General features: G+C 42.9%; 1 protein-coding gene across 6 annotated transcripts, besides 2 other annotated features; it reads left to right on the plus strand.

The window, feature by feature from the left end:
• Positions 3,633 to 3,702: an enhancer, noted in NCBI's record as "active region_24341". NCBI's record gives its function as "activates an Ori minimal core promoter by ATAC-STARR-seq in GM12878 lymphoblastoid cells {active_cell/tissue: GM12878}" and the evidence as "EXISTENCE:reporter gene assay evidence [ECO:0000049][PMID:35858748]".
• Positions 3,891 to 13,172, plus strand: ZNF165 (zinc finger protein 165). 6 transcript variants are annotated; one of them, NM_003447.4, is made up of 4 exons: positions 4,177 to 5,139; positions 9,090 to 9,500; positions 9,781 to 9,919; positions 12,172 to 13,172. In NM_003447.4, the coding sequence occupies exons 2-4, from the start codon at positions 9,090 to 9,092 to the stop codon at positions 13,077 to 13,079; spliced, it is 1,458 nt and encodes a 485-aa protein (NP_003438.1). In that variant the 5' UTR covers positions 4,177 to 5,139; the 3' UTR covers positions 13,080 to 13,172. The 6 variants fall into 6 exon arrangements, with proteins under 6 accessions (NP_001363423.1, NP_003438.1, NP_001363422.1 ...); NM_001376493.1 differs by having other exon boundaries at positions 4,177 to 5,067; NM_001376492.1 differs by having other exon boundaries at positions 4,177 to 4,878.
• Positions 4,503 to 4,622: an enhancer, noted in NCBI's record as "active region_24342". NCBI's record gives its function as "activates an Ori minimal core promoter by ATAC-STARR-seq in GM12878 lymphoblastoid cells {active_cell/tissue: GM12878}" and the evidence as "EXISTENCE:reporter gene assay evidence [ECO:0000049][PMID:35858748]".
• Positions 13,173 to 14,338: the final 1,166 nt, after the last annotated feature.

Consider the following 14,338-nt stretch of genomic DNA (forward strand, 5'->3'; position numbering starts at 1 on the left):
GGAAAGTGCCACCAAACTGGATTGGTATCCTTATTCCCCTGAAGCAGGAGGCCACTATCTCTCTGGACCTGACCCTCACTTTCCTTTTCAATGAAGGGTCTGGGGAGGCACAATGGCAGTGGGCAGGCAGTGCCCCCATACCAATGGGAACCAAAGTGACACCAGTATGGTGTCATCCACCCCTATCACTGTAGAGTCTACGACTCCTCCCACACTGGGCAGAGGGTCTGGTACAGCTCTCCTGGAAGATTCCCAAGGAAACCAAAATTATTGTAGCAAGGCAGAGTTAATACCAGCTTTATTATGCCAGAGAGTGGGAGACGCCCTATGTGTTTCTAATAAGTTTTTGTCATTTCACTGTTAGCTTGAGTTGCCTTCTCCTTTTGCTGTTATATCATTCCCACTGGCACCTGGAAATCCTTCCAAAATGTTTTCCTGGCCTGGGGCCATCACACAGCCCATCTGCATGGCCAACCTAACTGCTGAGTGTTTGGTCTTATGCCCTTGAATAGCCATGTAGGAACTCCATGGTGGACTGAGCCACTACTGGGTAAAGACTGGATCTCTGTACAAACTTGGATGACCGGACAATGCATATAAATAGGTACCCTAGATTCCTCTAACACCACACATGCAAATGTGAGTGATTGAGATAGGACATTGAACAACTACAGACAAAATTTAAGTTTTTCCCTAAACATGTCCCATAGGAGGCAACCATCAAAGTGAAAACTGCCCTGAAGAGCACCAGGTTCTGGCAATGGAGATCATACTGGCAAATGTGGGATGGCTTTCTTTAGCTCATCCTTACAGCAAGGATGCTCTCGAGTTGCATAGATCTGTTGGGAACAACATAATCACTCTAAAGACATTCAGGTAATACCTAAGGTATTCTCCTAGTACCTAGATTTCCTCCCAATTGCCCAATGCCAACACACCATTATCCTTAAGGTCACAGATTGATTTGTCACAAACAGTCTTGTAGGCCAGGAATATACTGAATTGCCCCAGATGGCACCCAGTGGCTCTCTGCTACTAACCTCCAGCCCTGGCTTCCCCTGGGGTGGCTTGGATGACTCCAGAATCTCTGGCACCATTCCTGTATCCCTCAATGAGTCCATCTGGAGAGGTCAGTGGAGTAGACCTGTTTTTTCTTGGTGGGATTACTTATTGACTATATTTGTGCCTCCAGGAGGTTCTTCTGATACTGTGTAGAAGCTGGAAGCCCTTCAGAGATTTGTCTCCACAGCTTTGAACAACACCAAACATGGTATGGAGGCCTTGAACATTGAAACAGCTGCAGTGAAAAAAGTGGTCTACAAAACCAAATGGCCCTAGAGATGCTGACATCTGTGCAAGGGGGAACCTGTGCCCTTTACAAAAGTGAACATTGTGTGTATATTCTAGACAAAGAAGCTGAAGTTAATCAATCCGTCCTTCACTCACGAAAGCAATTACAGCTTACTGACCACATAGGGTATGCCTGGTGGTCTACACAAAGTCATGTTTTCCAGGATGGGGTCCTTGGTGGAAAGCTCTGCTAGGAAGCCTTTTGGAAAATGTGATTTTAGATTTTGTCAGGTGCACTTGTATTTACTGTTAGTGTAGGTTTTGTTTGCAGTGTTTCATAAAGCCAGGGGAAAGAAATTGCCGATGATCCCACCCTTTCTGACCAGCTCAGGGAACATATAGGAAGAGATGGGCATGTGAGATTGTAAGAGCCAGTCAGGAAAATGGATTGCAGGATCTCTGACTGGAAATCACAGAGCCTTGACTATTCTGTGACTGAAAATCAGAGTGCCTTGACCTCTCTGTGACCTAGCCAGCTGCAGATTTTTTCCCAGCATGCTTGAACCCAAACTTGGGTCTTGAACATTCCCAGGCACTGATAAAGGTATCTAAGTTGTCACTGAAAACAGTGAAAGAAACTAGCTCTGGCCCTGAGCCAAATTCTTTAAACCCTTATATAAACTCCATACCCTGACCCCCTCACTGCAGACATATCTAGGTAGAATGTCCCTTTTCTCTCACCACCCATGGGGAGGATTCCTGCAACACTATGTAAGTTCCCTTAATAAATGCTTTGGACAGATCACCTTGGCACATAGTGCTCCTTTCTTTGGAATCCCAACCAGCCCCAACTAGGACGGTTTTGGGCACTCCCTTGTGTGAACTCCCCTGCCACCACTTTTGGGGGACAAAACAGTACATATCTAATAGAATCATCTTGTTAAAAAGCAAGGGAACAACAAATACAAAATTTGTGATAGTGTTTCCTCGGATGAGAGGTAGTATAGAGAGGGACTAGAAAAAGAGTAGTATTAAATCTAAGTTGTTGTCAATCTACAGTTCTTATAGACTAGGTAATGGATTAAAAAATGTTCACACTTTAAGGCCATGCATGGACCAATGACAGCCAGTGGTTTTAATTAATACCATTTTGAATATCTGAGTTCCACTGGGGTAAGGGGATGAATCAAACAAGGCCTCAGAAGAAAAGTTGTCTGGGAATGCAGGAAGGTTTTGCAGAGGAGATGAAGTTTCAGTTGCAACCCTGCTGCGTGGGCTTCAATTTCACCACCTGAGATTTAAATAGAGGCAGGAGTCACTCAGGCTAGAATGCAGTGGTGCAATCACAGCTCACTATTGCAGCCACCACCTCCTGGGCTCAGGCGATCCTCCCACCTCAGCCTCCCGAGTAGCTGGGAGTACAAGTGCATTCCACAACCCCCGACTAATTTTTTTTTTTTTTAATTTTTGTAGAGACGAGGTCCCAACTATGTTGCCCAGGCTGGTCTCGAACTCCTGAGTTCAATTAATCCTCCTGCCTTTGCCTCCCAAAGCGGGGAATTAGAAAAGTGAGCCAACACGCCCGGCCCACTAGTGTTAAAAAATAAAAACAAAAGCAATAATCTGACAGATAGAGCCAGGGAGGGCTATGAAGAGACACTTCTCAGGCTTGTATGCCTCATAAGAAAACTATCACATATGACTGCAAAACCCATCTTACACCAAAAATACCTCTGCAAGGACATCCGCCCAGCAACTGTTTGTCTAACCTCAGACTGGTGTCATCCTCGTTACCGATCTTTGTAGTCAAGAATAATGATTTCAAAACAATTAAATAATCCTCCCCATTCTTCCTTTAAAAACCTTTGTCTTCCTTTACCTCCCTGAATAGAAACATAGTTTACTCTGGCACGTCTATTCTTATTGCAATTTCCTATTCCCGAATAAACTTTTTTTTTTTTTTTTGAGATGGATCCTTGCTCTGTCGCCCAGGCTGGAGTGCAGTGGCGTGATCTCAGCTCACTGCAACCTTCACCTCCTGGGTTCAAGCGATTCTTCTGTCTTAGCCTCCCAAGTAGCTGGGACTACAGGCGCCCACCACCACACCCAGCTAATTTTTATATTTTTAGTACAGACGGGGTTTCACCATGTTGGCCAGGCTGGCCTTGAACTCCTTGTTAAATACAGTGAGTTCTAAATTTCTCTTCAAAGAATCAGTATGTCAGTATGTTCAATTCTTTGTTCTCCATTTTAAACTTTAACTTCCTCATTTTCCTCGTCTCCTTGCCTCTAGTTTCAGTAAACAACCTTTTCCACCAGTTCTAATCAGTAGTTCACATCTGTTCCCCTGGTGACCTGCTCCGTCCTGAGTCACCCCTGGTCACCTGCTCTGACCTGAGTCACCTTTAGTCACCTGTTCCGTAACCGTCCTTCCCACTGAAACTGCTCACCCTACCACTCCGGCTCATACCCCTGCTCTCTTTAAAATAGCCAATCGGAATTAACTTAGACTGTGCGGTCCAACCCTAGCCAGTAGGGGAACGACACAGCACTAGGGACTACCTGCGTCAGGGATAAGAACCCCTTCCCCTCCCTTGTTCAGGTGTGCTCTCGCCATTGCTCCATCCGTGAGACGCACCCTTCTATAGAAGTAAATTGCTTTGCTGAGAAAATGTGTGCTCGAGTGTGTATCTTTTTCTTCTTCTTCTTTTTCTGAGACTGAGTCTCACTCTGTCACCCAAGCTGGAGTGCAGTGGCGCGGTCTCGGCTCACTGCAAGCTCCGCCTCCCGGGTTCAAGCGATTCTCCTGCCTCAGCCTCCCGAGCACCTGGAACTACAGGCGCGTGCCACCACGCCCGGCAATTTTTTTTTTTTTTTTTTTTTTTGTATTTTTAGTAGACACAGGGTGTCACCGCGTAAACCAGGATAGTCTCGATCTCCTGACCTCGTGATCCGCCCGTCTCGGCCTCCCAAAGTGCTGGGACTGCAGGCGTGAGCCACCGCGCCCGGCCAACGTCATTTTCTTTTCAGGAGTCCCTTCTGTTATTTAGCAAGACACACTACTACAATGGAGAAAAAAGATGCCCCCTCCTTCAAGCCCTGAGATCTTCAGGACTTTGGCGAAAAGTCTGCGCCCGAAGAGACCCAGGAAGGATTCTTGGAATTGTAGTCCAAAGGCATCCCGCCTTCTGCGCAGACTCACAAGTCCCTGTGGACGGAATTCTTGAAGTGTAGCGCCGCTCAGTCCTTCCACCGGAAGTGTCCGATCGGAATCAGCCCTGTCCGAGAGGTGAGTCCGGGTTTGGGGATCCAGATGTCCAGCCCCGTGTCCCCCTCCAAACATCCAGTCCCTCTCATATTGCCTTTGAAATTAGCAGCCTCTGGGTGACCAGACCTTGGCCCTCAGAGGAATCCCGGAGAAAGGTAGAACCAGCTTCGGCGTTGGGAACGCAGGCGCGCTTACGCATTTAGTGAGGGTTTGGCGGTCTCCATAGTTACCGCCGCCGCGCGTGACGTCATAGTGGAGCGCTGAGGGCTTGGTGGCGTGGGGTGGGGGCTGTCCTACTGATCCTGAATTTGGGGTCACTGGTAAGAGGAGTTGCCCATTCCAGCCAGGTGGAACGGGGAGGGGTGCCACATGTCTCAGATCTGCCATTGTCTGCGAAAAGAAACTGCTGCGAGGACCATCCCCAATCCCCTGCTTCCCTTGGGAAGAGTAACCGCCGTTTTGTAGGACACTTGGGGACAACCCCGCTTGTCCTGAAATTTATTGACACGGTAAATAGTATTTCCTGTGTGCCGAGGATGCAGTTAAACCAACACTGACCCCCTGCCCTTGAGAAACACAAGGTACTATGGGAGCCTTTACCAGCATGCCCCTTGAAGTCTCTGTTCTGCTTTGTGGTCTCTACCGGATTTCCCCTGACTGTCTCCCTCTCCACCAACAAAACTCTCACCCGTCTTCCCCTCCCGCAACATGCCCACCAAGACATGTTCATCCATCAGGAGCCCTGCTCTTTAACCTCCAACTTTCTCATCATAATTAATTACTCGTTCCTCTCTGTTCTCCTAGCGTTTCTTCACACATCTGCTTACCCATTTTTGTAAGTCCTCCTAACACAATATTATAAGGCACTAGATGCTCAATCAATATTTATTAGTTTAAAGCTACCAGCTTTAGGGGGACTCGGTTTTAAATAGATGAGAAGTGATAAAACACCTGGAGATAGTACTGTCAGCTGAGATAACATGTCATAGAACCAGCTGCTCAGCATAATTGAAATTTCATTCGGATTATATGGGCCTACTTTACACCCATCTTACTATGGTAAATGAGATCATGCTCATTAAGCATTAGGACACTACTTGGTTAGCGCATCTAGGAAACATAACCAGAAATATCAAAGAAATGGCCCAGTAAAATATAAGGGATTGAGACTCTCTGGTTAATATACCATGGAACTAACCCCCCTTTTTTTTCTTTATCATTGATAAATTTTGTTCTTACTTATACTCAAATTGTTTGTTTTCCAAGGTTCAGTCTGAACCTAGTGATATTTATTTCATACTCTTGGAGAATTAATACTGTTACATATCTTCAACTACCCTTTTCATGAATCTTGTCTGCCAAGACAAGCTCGGTCATGGAGACCCTAACCCAGTGGCGCTAGAGGAATTAAAGACACACACAGAAATATAGAGTGTGGAGTGGGAAATGAGGGGTCTCACAGCCTTCAGAGCTGAGAGCCTTGAACAGAGATTTACCCACTTATTTATTGACAGCAAGCCAGTGATAAGATTTACTGAAAGTATTCCTTACGGGAAATAAAGGGATGGGCCGAAATAAAGGGATGGGCTCTGGCTAGTTATCTGCAGCATGAACATGTCCTTAAGGCACAGATCGCTCATGCTATTGTTTTCTGCCCTGGGTGGGCCAGGTGTTCCTTGCCCTCATTCCAGTAAACTGACAACCTTCCAGCGTGGGCGTCAAGGCCATCATGAGCATGTCACAGTGCTGCAGAGATTTTGTTCATGGCCAGTTTTGGGGCCAGTTTATGGCCAGATTTGGGGGCCTGTTCCCAACACTTGTCAAAATCTGTCTTCCCATTCCAAATTCTTTTCCATTATTGAAATATCATTGTTTCTGTTGGAAATATTTTTCCAAGTAGATGTCTTATTATCATCTTAAATACAGATCATCCAAAACAGAAGTCATCTGAAACTTTCCTAATTTTTCCTTTCAATCATAAATATGAAGCCTTAAGAACAATTAATAATGCATGATCCTTAACCTCATGGAACATCAATCAGTTGATAAAAAAACAGCCAAACAACTAAAAATAATACAAGGACTTATATATTCATATGTGTATGTGTTAGGAATTGTAAGAACTCAGACTAGAGTTGAGCAATTTCTTAACAGAGGCAGTAGAATTCTTAGTCACTCCAGCCATCACACCCTGCAAGTTGATCTCACCATCAGTCTGCTGCTCATTCCTACTTCCTCTACTCTGTTCCTTTCCTTTCTGAATCTTTCTCATCCTTTATTGTCCAATTTAAGCCCCATGTTAAATACAGTGAGTTCTAAATTTCTCTTCAAAGAATCAGTATGTCAGTATGTTCAGTTCTTTGTTCTCCACTTTAAAGTTTAACCTCATCTCCTTGCCCCTAGTTTCAGTAAACAACCTTTTCCACCAGTTCCAATCAGTAGTTCACATCTATTCCCCTGGTCACCTGCTCTGTCCTGAGTCACCCCTGGTCATCTGCTCTGACCTGCATCACCTTTAATCGCCTGTTCTGTAACCGTCCTTCCCACTGAAACTGCTCACCCCGCCACTGTGGTTCATACCCCTGCTTTCTTTAAAACAGCCAGTTGGAATTAGCTTAGACTATGCAGTCCAACCCTAGCCAATAGGGGAACGACATAGCAGTAGGGACTACCTGCGTCAGAGATAAGAACCCCTTCCTCTCCCTTGATCAGGTATGCTCTCACCATTGCTCCATCTGCGAGACACACCTTTCTATAGAAGCAAAATTGCCTTGATGAGAAAATTCATGTTCGAGTGCTATTTCTTTTGCTGCACCGAAAATTTATTTCTAATACCCACCACCTCTAGGAAATACCTTCTACCATTCACAGTCTCTTCCCACCTCAGGACCGTTAGAACATTCAGTATCTCCACCATAAACTCATTTTATACTTCAACATTCAACATTTAACAAACATGTACAATGTATATGTCATGTGAAACGTTTTCTCATTTAAATCTTTTGTATCCATGTTTTATAATTTCTTCCCAACTAGTTCTTCCCACTGAATTTATTTCTTTCTCTCCCGCATCCTTGTCAAATCTTTTCTATTCTTCAAACTCAAAGACTTTTTGTTTAATCCATTAAGCTGTATATTAGAATACAGATTTTCCAGGCATATACTATACTGACCAAGTTACCATCTCTAGGAGCAGGCCCCTAGTCTGCATCTCCAGAGGTAGGGCCCAAGAACCTGTTTCTACCAAAGATCCCATATGATGATTAGGCAGCAAGCCCAGTGTCATATTCAGACTTTCTTGTAAACCATTGCTGTACAACTTCTAGCCCAATGCTTTGCTTGTGATAAGATTCTTAATAAAATGTGTGTTATTGCATCAGTCAGTAGTCAACTTAGTGAAATGTTTAGTAAAAGAACCTCAGGCCGGGCACGGTGGCTCACACCTGTAATCCCAGCAATTTGGGAGGCTGAGATGGGCAGTGGGCAGATCACAAGGTCAGGAGTTTGAGACCAGCTTGGCCAACATGGTGAAACCACATCTCTACTAAAAATACAAAAAATTAGCCAGGTGTGGCGGTGTGCATCTGAAATCCTAGCTACTCAGGAGGCTGAGGAAGGAGAATCACTTGAACCTGGGAGGCGGAGGTTGCAGTGAGCCGAGATCGCGCCATTGCACTCCAGCCTGGGTGATAGAGTAAGACTCCCTCTCAAAAAACAAAAAAAAGAACCTCATACTTGCATGAATACAGTGGCCTCTATCTTTTCATATTGCCACCCACCCTAGAAATGAAGAACATATTCATCTCCACAGTGTTTAGCAGGTCATTCTGCTCAGAAGAATTGACTCCTCTTCAGTGACTCCCCAGTGCCTAAAAGATAAACTCCAAATTCATGAACTTCACAGTTGATGTTTTCTACAATAACATCTCCAAGCTTTGCCTCTATAATTTTCTTATACAAACCTACTAAACGTTTTGCTTTCCCTCTTCTGTATTCCTACTCTTACCCAATTGTTCAGACTGTTTCTCTGTTCGTAATTTCCTATTTCTTTCCCTCCCACATCCTAGTCAAATCTTTTCTATTCTTCAGAATTTCATGTTTGCATTAAGCTTCCCTTGACCATTGCAACCATCTGTATTTTTCTCATCTCCTATTTTATGAAGCACTTCTATCATTTTTCTTTTTTATCCTTATTTTCTCTGTGACTTTTAAAATTTAATAACATGTACATTGTTAATATTTAGCATTACATTTAAGTTTATTGTTTCTAATTTATCTTATTTTTAAATTTAAAAATTAAGCTATCTTGAAGTAGAAATCATTAACAGTTGTATTCTAGAAACCAAGTATGTCAGTGCTTTTGCATATAGTAAATGCCCAGTAAATTTTTGTGTAATGGAGAATGACGATTTTTATTATGTGGTCTTTCATCTTCTTAGACAGTAATAGTAACTTTTGATCCCTCAGGAGGACTCTTGAAACTAAAGAAGACCCTTTCCAAAGCAGTTCTGATAATATATTCTATCCACAGATGGCTACAGAACCAAAGAAAGCTGCAGCCCAGAACTCTCCAGAGGATGAAGGACTTCTGATAGTGAAGATAGAAGAGGAAGAATTTATCCATGGGCAGGACACTTGCTTACAGAGAAGTGAACTCCTTAAGCAGGAGCTCTGCAGGCAGCTTTTTAGGCAGTTCTGCTACCAGGATTCTCCTGGACCTCGCGAGGCACTGAGCCGCCTCCGGGAGCTCTGCTGTCAGTGGCTGAAGCCAGAGATCCATACCAAGGAACAGATTCTGGAACTGCTGGTGCTAGAGCAGTTCCTGACCATCCTGCCAGGAGATTTGCAGGCCTGGGTACATGAACATTACCCAGAGAGTGGAGAGGAGGCAGTGACCATACTAGAAGATTTGGAGAGAGGCACTGATGAAGCAGTACTCCAGGTGCACAGGGGATGGGAGATCTAAGACCTCCATAATGGATAAAGTTCCACGGTGGGAGGAGAGGCCCGAGATTGCATATCTAGCTTGCAGGAGCTGTTGGTTCAGTGTGCATTTATGTCTCCTTTCCTGTCTGTTTGATTCCACACTACATTTTACAATTAAATCAGACTCGATTCTTCCTTCCCCAGTTTTGCATTTCTATGGGAGTTTCTCTTTGTTGTTAGAAGACGTTTAACACAGGGATTCTTTTATAAGCCCAAATGTACTTTATTTTTCTCAGGTTCAAGCCCATGAACATGGACAAGAAATATTCCAGAAAAAAGTGTCACCTCCTGGACCAGCACTTAATGTCAAGTTACAGCCAGTGGAGACCAAGGCCCATTTTGATTCATCAGAACCCCAGCTCCTATGGGACTGTGGTGAGGGGCAGAATGCCATATAGTGCACATCACTAAAGAAACAGGGGAATGAATCTCCCTCCACAAACTAGTCTTGGTAACTGTAGATGGTCCTTTCCTTTATTACCCAATGAAAAGAGAGAACTTGTGGCCAGGTGCGGTGGCTCACTCCTGTAATCCCAGCACTTTGGGAGGCCAAGGCAGGTGGATCACGAGGTCAGGAGATCAAGACCATCCTGGCTAACATGGTGAAACCCCATCTCTACTAAAAATACAAAAAATTAGCCGTAGCACCTGTAGTCCCAGCTACTCGGAAGGCTGAGGCAGGAGAATGGCGTGAACCTGGGAGGCGGAGCTTGCAGTGAGCTGAGACTGCGCCACTGCACTCCAGCCTGGGCGACAGAGCAAGACTCCATCTCATAAAGGAAAAAAAAAAGAGAGAGAGAACTTGTTTTCCTGTGAGTCTTTGGCCAATGGTAGGGGAAAAGATAATTTTGTTCCTTATCCAGAATATTTCCAAAACACAGAACATTTTTATGATATGACCAAATTAAAGGAAATAAAAGTGAATGAGTTGAGAAAATATCATGAAAAGAGAAAAGAAGGAAAAGAAAAAGAAATACATGGACAGAAGCAAAATATGTTCATAGAGAAGTACATATAATGATCAAGAGAAACAGATACATGATGATATACTGAGAAATAGTATATAATTCACAAGTAACATAGACCGTGATCCATATTTTTCCTGTTATGCTCTTGGTCTTATAAAGCTCTTTTACACTTTTATAGAAAGTTAGCTATAGTTCTAGAGACTACTTCCACAGAATACTCATCTCTGTTCTAAAACTCATCTATTTAAAAGATTCATAGATGCAGTATCACTTAAGGTGTGAATTGTCCCTATAGTAAACCCAAGAATAACTTACCGTTAATTTTTTGGTTTGTTTGTTTTGTTTTGTTTTGTTTTTCCTGACACAGAGTCTTGCTCTGTCACCTAGGCTGGAGTGCAGTGGCGTGATCTCAGCTCACTGCAACCTCCACCTCCTGGGTTCAAGCAATTATCCTGCCTCAGCCTCCCGAGTAGCTGAGATTACATGTGCCTGCCACCATGCCCGGCTAATTTTTGTATTTTTAGTAGAGACGGGGTTTCACCATGTTGGCCAGGCTGGTCTCAAACTCCTGACTTCGTGATCCGCCCGCCTTGGCCTCCCAGAGTGCTGGGATTACAGACATGAGCCACGGAGCCTGGCCACAATTAATTTTTAATAAATTTCTACATATTCTGCCTTCAGTTTTGTTCTGGAAACATCTCCATCTGTCGTATATAAAATTGTAAATTTCCCTCACCCCATGAACAGCACTCCCTAACCCTCTTTCCTGCCCTAGCGTATTGTAGACAAAGGACAGCTTATAATAAAGAAGGGCGGTTCAATTCCAGCACAGTATAGAGTGGGATTTGTGAAGACTGGATCATAAATGGATCTTGGAAACCAGGCTTGGGAATTTAGACTTGAACAAAAAAAGAGAGAGAGAGATTCAAGGTTTTTGAGTAGGGTATGAAAGGATGGCAGTGTTTAATGACCATTAGTCTAGTAAGGATCTTTAGGATAACTAGGAAGAAGAAAAGTGCAGAGTCAAAACAGCAAGGAGGCAGTTAAAGTCTAGATAGGAAATGGTAAGGTTCGAGACTATGGCGATGGTAGCAGAAATATAAAGGAAGGGATTTATACAAGGGACACTTAGTGGACAGTGATGACAGAATTTAGAAGACTGATTAACCATGGAATATGAGGAAGAAATAGACAATAGGTGGATGGAAGTTTTCTCACACATACTTCACAGTCACTTATAGCTTTACTTTTCTCTCTTGTGTTCTCATCTGCTTTCTTTGAGGTAGTGCCTCCATTTTCCCTCTAGAAATGTATCATAGACCCAAGGTTCCCAAGATCTGCTGCAGTCAACATTGTAGAGTTCCTTCTCCGTACTCTATCTCCCCCTATCTCTTGAGTTCTTGCTGATGACAATCCTCCCAATCTTTTCTAATATATATGCTTCACGTCTGATTCCTCTCTCTGCCAACCACTGCAGGCATTACTTGCTCTTACCAATGTTTCTTTCATTCCTATCATCCTCTTTCATTCTATCATTCCTCTCATGTGAAAGGTCATATATTAAAGTGGGCATATCAATATGTAACTATCTTGAGCATGCTATAAAATTTTCTTTTCGTGCAGCAAACAGGTAATATTTCCCTTTCTTTTTTATTTTAGATAATGAGAGTGAAAACAGTAGATCCATGCCAAAGCTGGAAATTTTTGAAAAAATTGAATCACAGAGAATTATATCTGGAAGAATCTCAGGATACATATCAGAAGCATCTGGTGAGTCTCAAGACATCTGTAAGTCTGCAGGCAGGGTAAAGAGACAATGGGAAAAAGAATCAGGGGAGTCTCAGAGACTCTCGTCTGCCCAGGATGAAGGTTTTGGTAAAATCCTCACCCACAAAAATACAGTCAGAGGTGAAATAATAAGCCACGATGGATGTGAGAGGAGATTAAATCTGAACTCAAATGAATTCACACACCAGAAATCTTGTAAACATGGTACCTGTGACCAGAGCTTCAAATGGAACTCAGATTTTATTAACCATCAAATAATTTATGCTGGAGAAAAAAATCACCAATATGGAAAATCTTTCAAGAGCCCAAAACTTGCTAAACATGCAGCAGTTTTCAGTGGAGATAAAACTCATCAGTGTAATGAATGTGGGAAAGCTTTCAGGCACAGCTCAAAACTTGCTAGGCATCAGAGAATCCACACTGGAGAGAGATGCTATGAATGTAATGAATGTGGGAAAAGCTTTGCAGAGAGCTCAGATCTTACTAGACATCGGCGAATTCACACTGGGGAAAGACCCTTTGGTTGCAAAGAATGTGGGAGAGCATTCAACCTGAACTCACATCTTATCAGGCATCAGAGAATTCACACCAGAGAGAAACCCTACGAGTGTAGTGAATGTGGGAAAACCTTCCGAGTGAGCTCACATCTTATTCGACACTTTAGAATTCACACTGGAGAAAAACCCTATGAATGCAGTGAGTGTGGAAGAGCCTTCAGTCAGAGCTCAAACCTTAGTCAACACCAGAGAATTCACATGAGGGAAAACCTATTAATGTAAGGAACTTAAATTTGTAAGTAAATGCTGAGGAAATGGCACAATATGAAAAATATTAAATAAAAAATAAATATTGGGCAAGATGGAAGACTGAAAGACCAGTTTCTGGTGTTCAATCTGTGTGTATGTGCTTTCTGTGAGACTGGGGATGTACCCCTTCTTTCATTGACTACTAAAGTCAAACCAAAAGAGCTACATTTAGGGGGGCTAATAGGGTAGTCTATGGCAGTGCAATGTAGAGAAATAGAGACTGTCTGGGGAAATAATCATGATTACAGTGTGGGAAGAAAAGGAAGATTTAGGTAAAGAGACTGATAATCAGTCCTAGTTTATTTTCCTAGTTAGTTTAGCACAAGAAGAGGTCAGCTAAACCCAGGAGTGAAATAGGTTGCACAGTGCACTGCAGAACAGTGTTTTCAGAGCATCCCTTTAAAAACTGAAGACCACAAAACTAAGATGCTCATGTTAAGTTAGAGAGTAATGTCAAATGAGGACATATGTAATGGTGGCATTCCTATATGAGGCCAAAATCTGTGTCCAGAGGTCATACCAGGAAGTAAAAAACCAGAAGAACACCCCAGGGAAGAGGCCAGAATCCAGACATTTAAGTAAGACAGTAAGAGAATAGAATTGAATTAAGGAAAAATTGGGTTAGGAGTGAGAAAAGGTGTTCAAATTGAACTAAACCTCAGAAGTTGGAGGATAGACACAGGATAACCAGGCTTTTACTGGTTTTTGGCACCTTTCTGGGGTAAGTTGATAGGGACTATAAGGAGTTCTCCTAACAGAAACTGACAGTAACAGAAACTGACAGGATTCTCCGGCCCGTGGCAATTGTGGAAGATTACTGAGGAAGTTAGTACTGGAAATAATGGTCCTGAAATGTTATTTCGTTGTTGCTGGCTGCTCTCTACAAAAAAGACTGAGAAGAGAGTATAGAGCGATAGTATATGAAAGAGGGTAGGGAGGAATGATTTAAGTCTTAAACATTCCACAGTATGTAAGGCTTTTACATTATAAAATGTAAACAGGACCTTGATGTTAGATGTATGATAATCTAATGTGAAATGTACAAAATCTCCCACTAAGAGGCTTTATAAGAAATAGCTTAGCATTTATTTTCAATGACTTTAAAAATGTCCTGACGGGATCTAAGTAACACAATATTTGGATTGTTTTTTAAGGTAATGTTGAGCCCACAGTTTTTTACAGGTAGTGTGCTAGTATGTCCTATCTCATTTTGTAACTATTATTTTTCACAT

This window comes from Homo sapiens, chromosome 6 (assembly GCF_000001405.40).
Source record: "Homo sapiens chromosome 6, GRCh38.p14 Primary Assembly".
Lineage (NCBI taxonomy): Eukaryota > Metazoa > Chordata > Mammalia > Primates > Hominidae > Homo > Homo sapiens.

Bases quoted from the DNA above. Each gene is read 5' to 3' on its own strand.
- ZNF165 (NM_003447.4), top strand. From the start codon at position 9,090: ATGGCTACAGAACCAAAGAAAGCTGCAGCCCAGAACTCTCCAGAGGAT. The intron at 9,501-9,780 runs GTGCACAGGGGA...TATTTTTCTCAG, and splicing joins CTGATGAAGCAGTACTCCAG to GTTCAAGCCCATGAACATGG. The intron at 9,920-12,171 runs GTGAGGGGCAGA...TTTTTATTTTAG, and splicing joins CCAGCTCCTATGGGACTGTG to ATAATGAGAGTGAAAACAGT.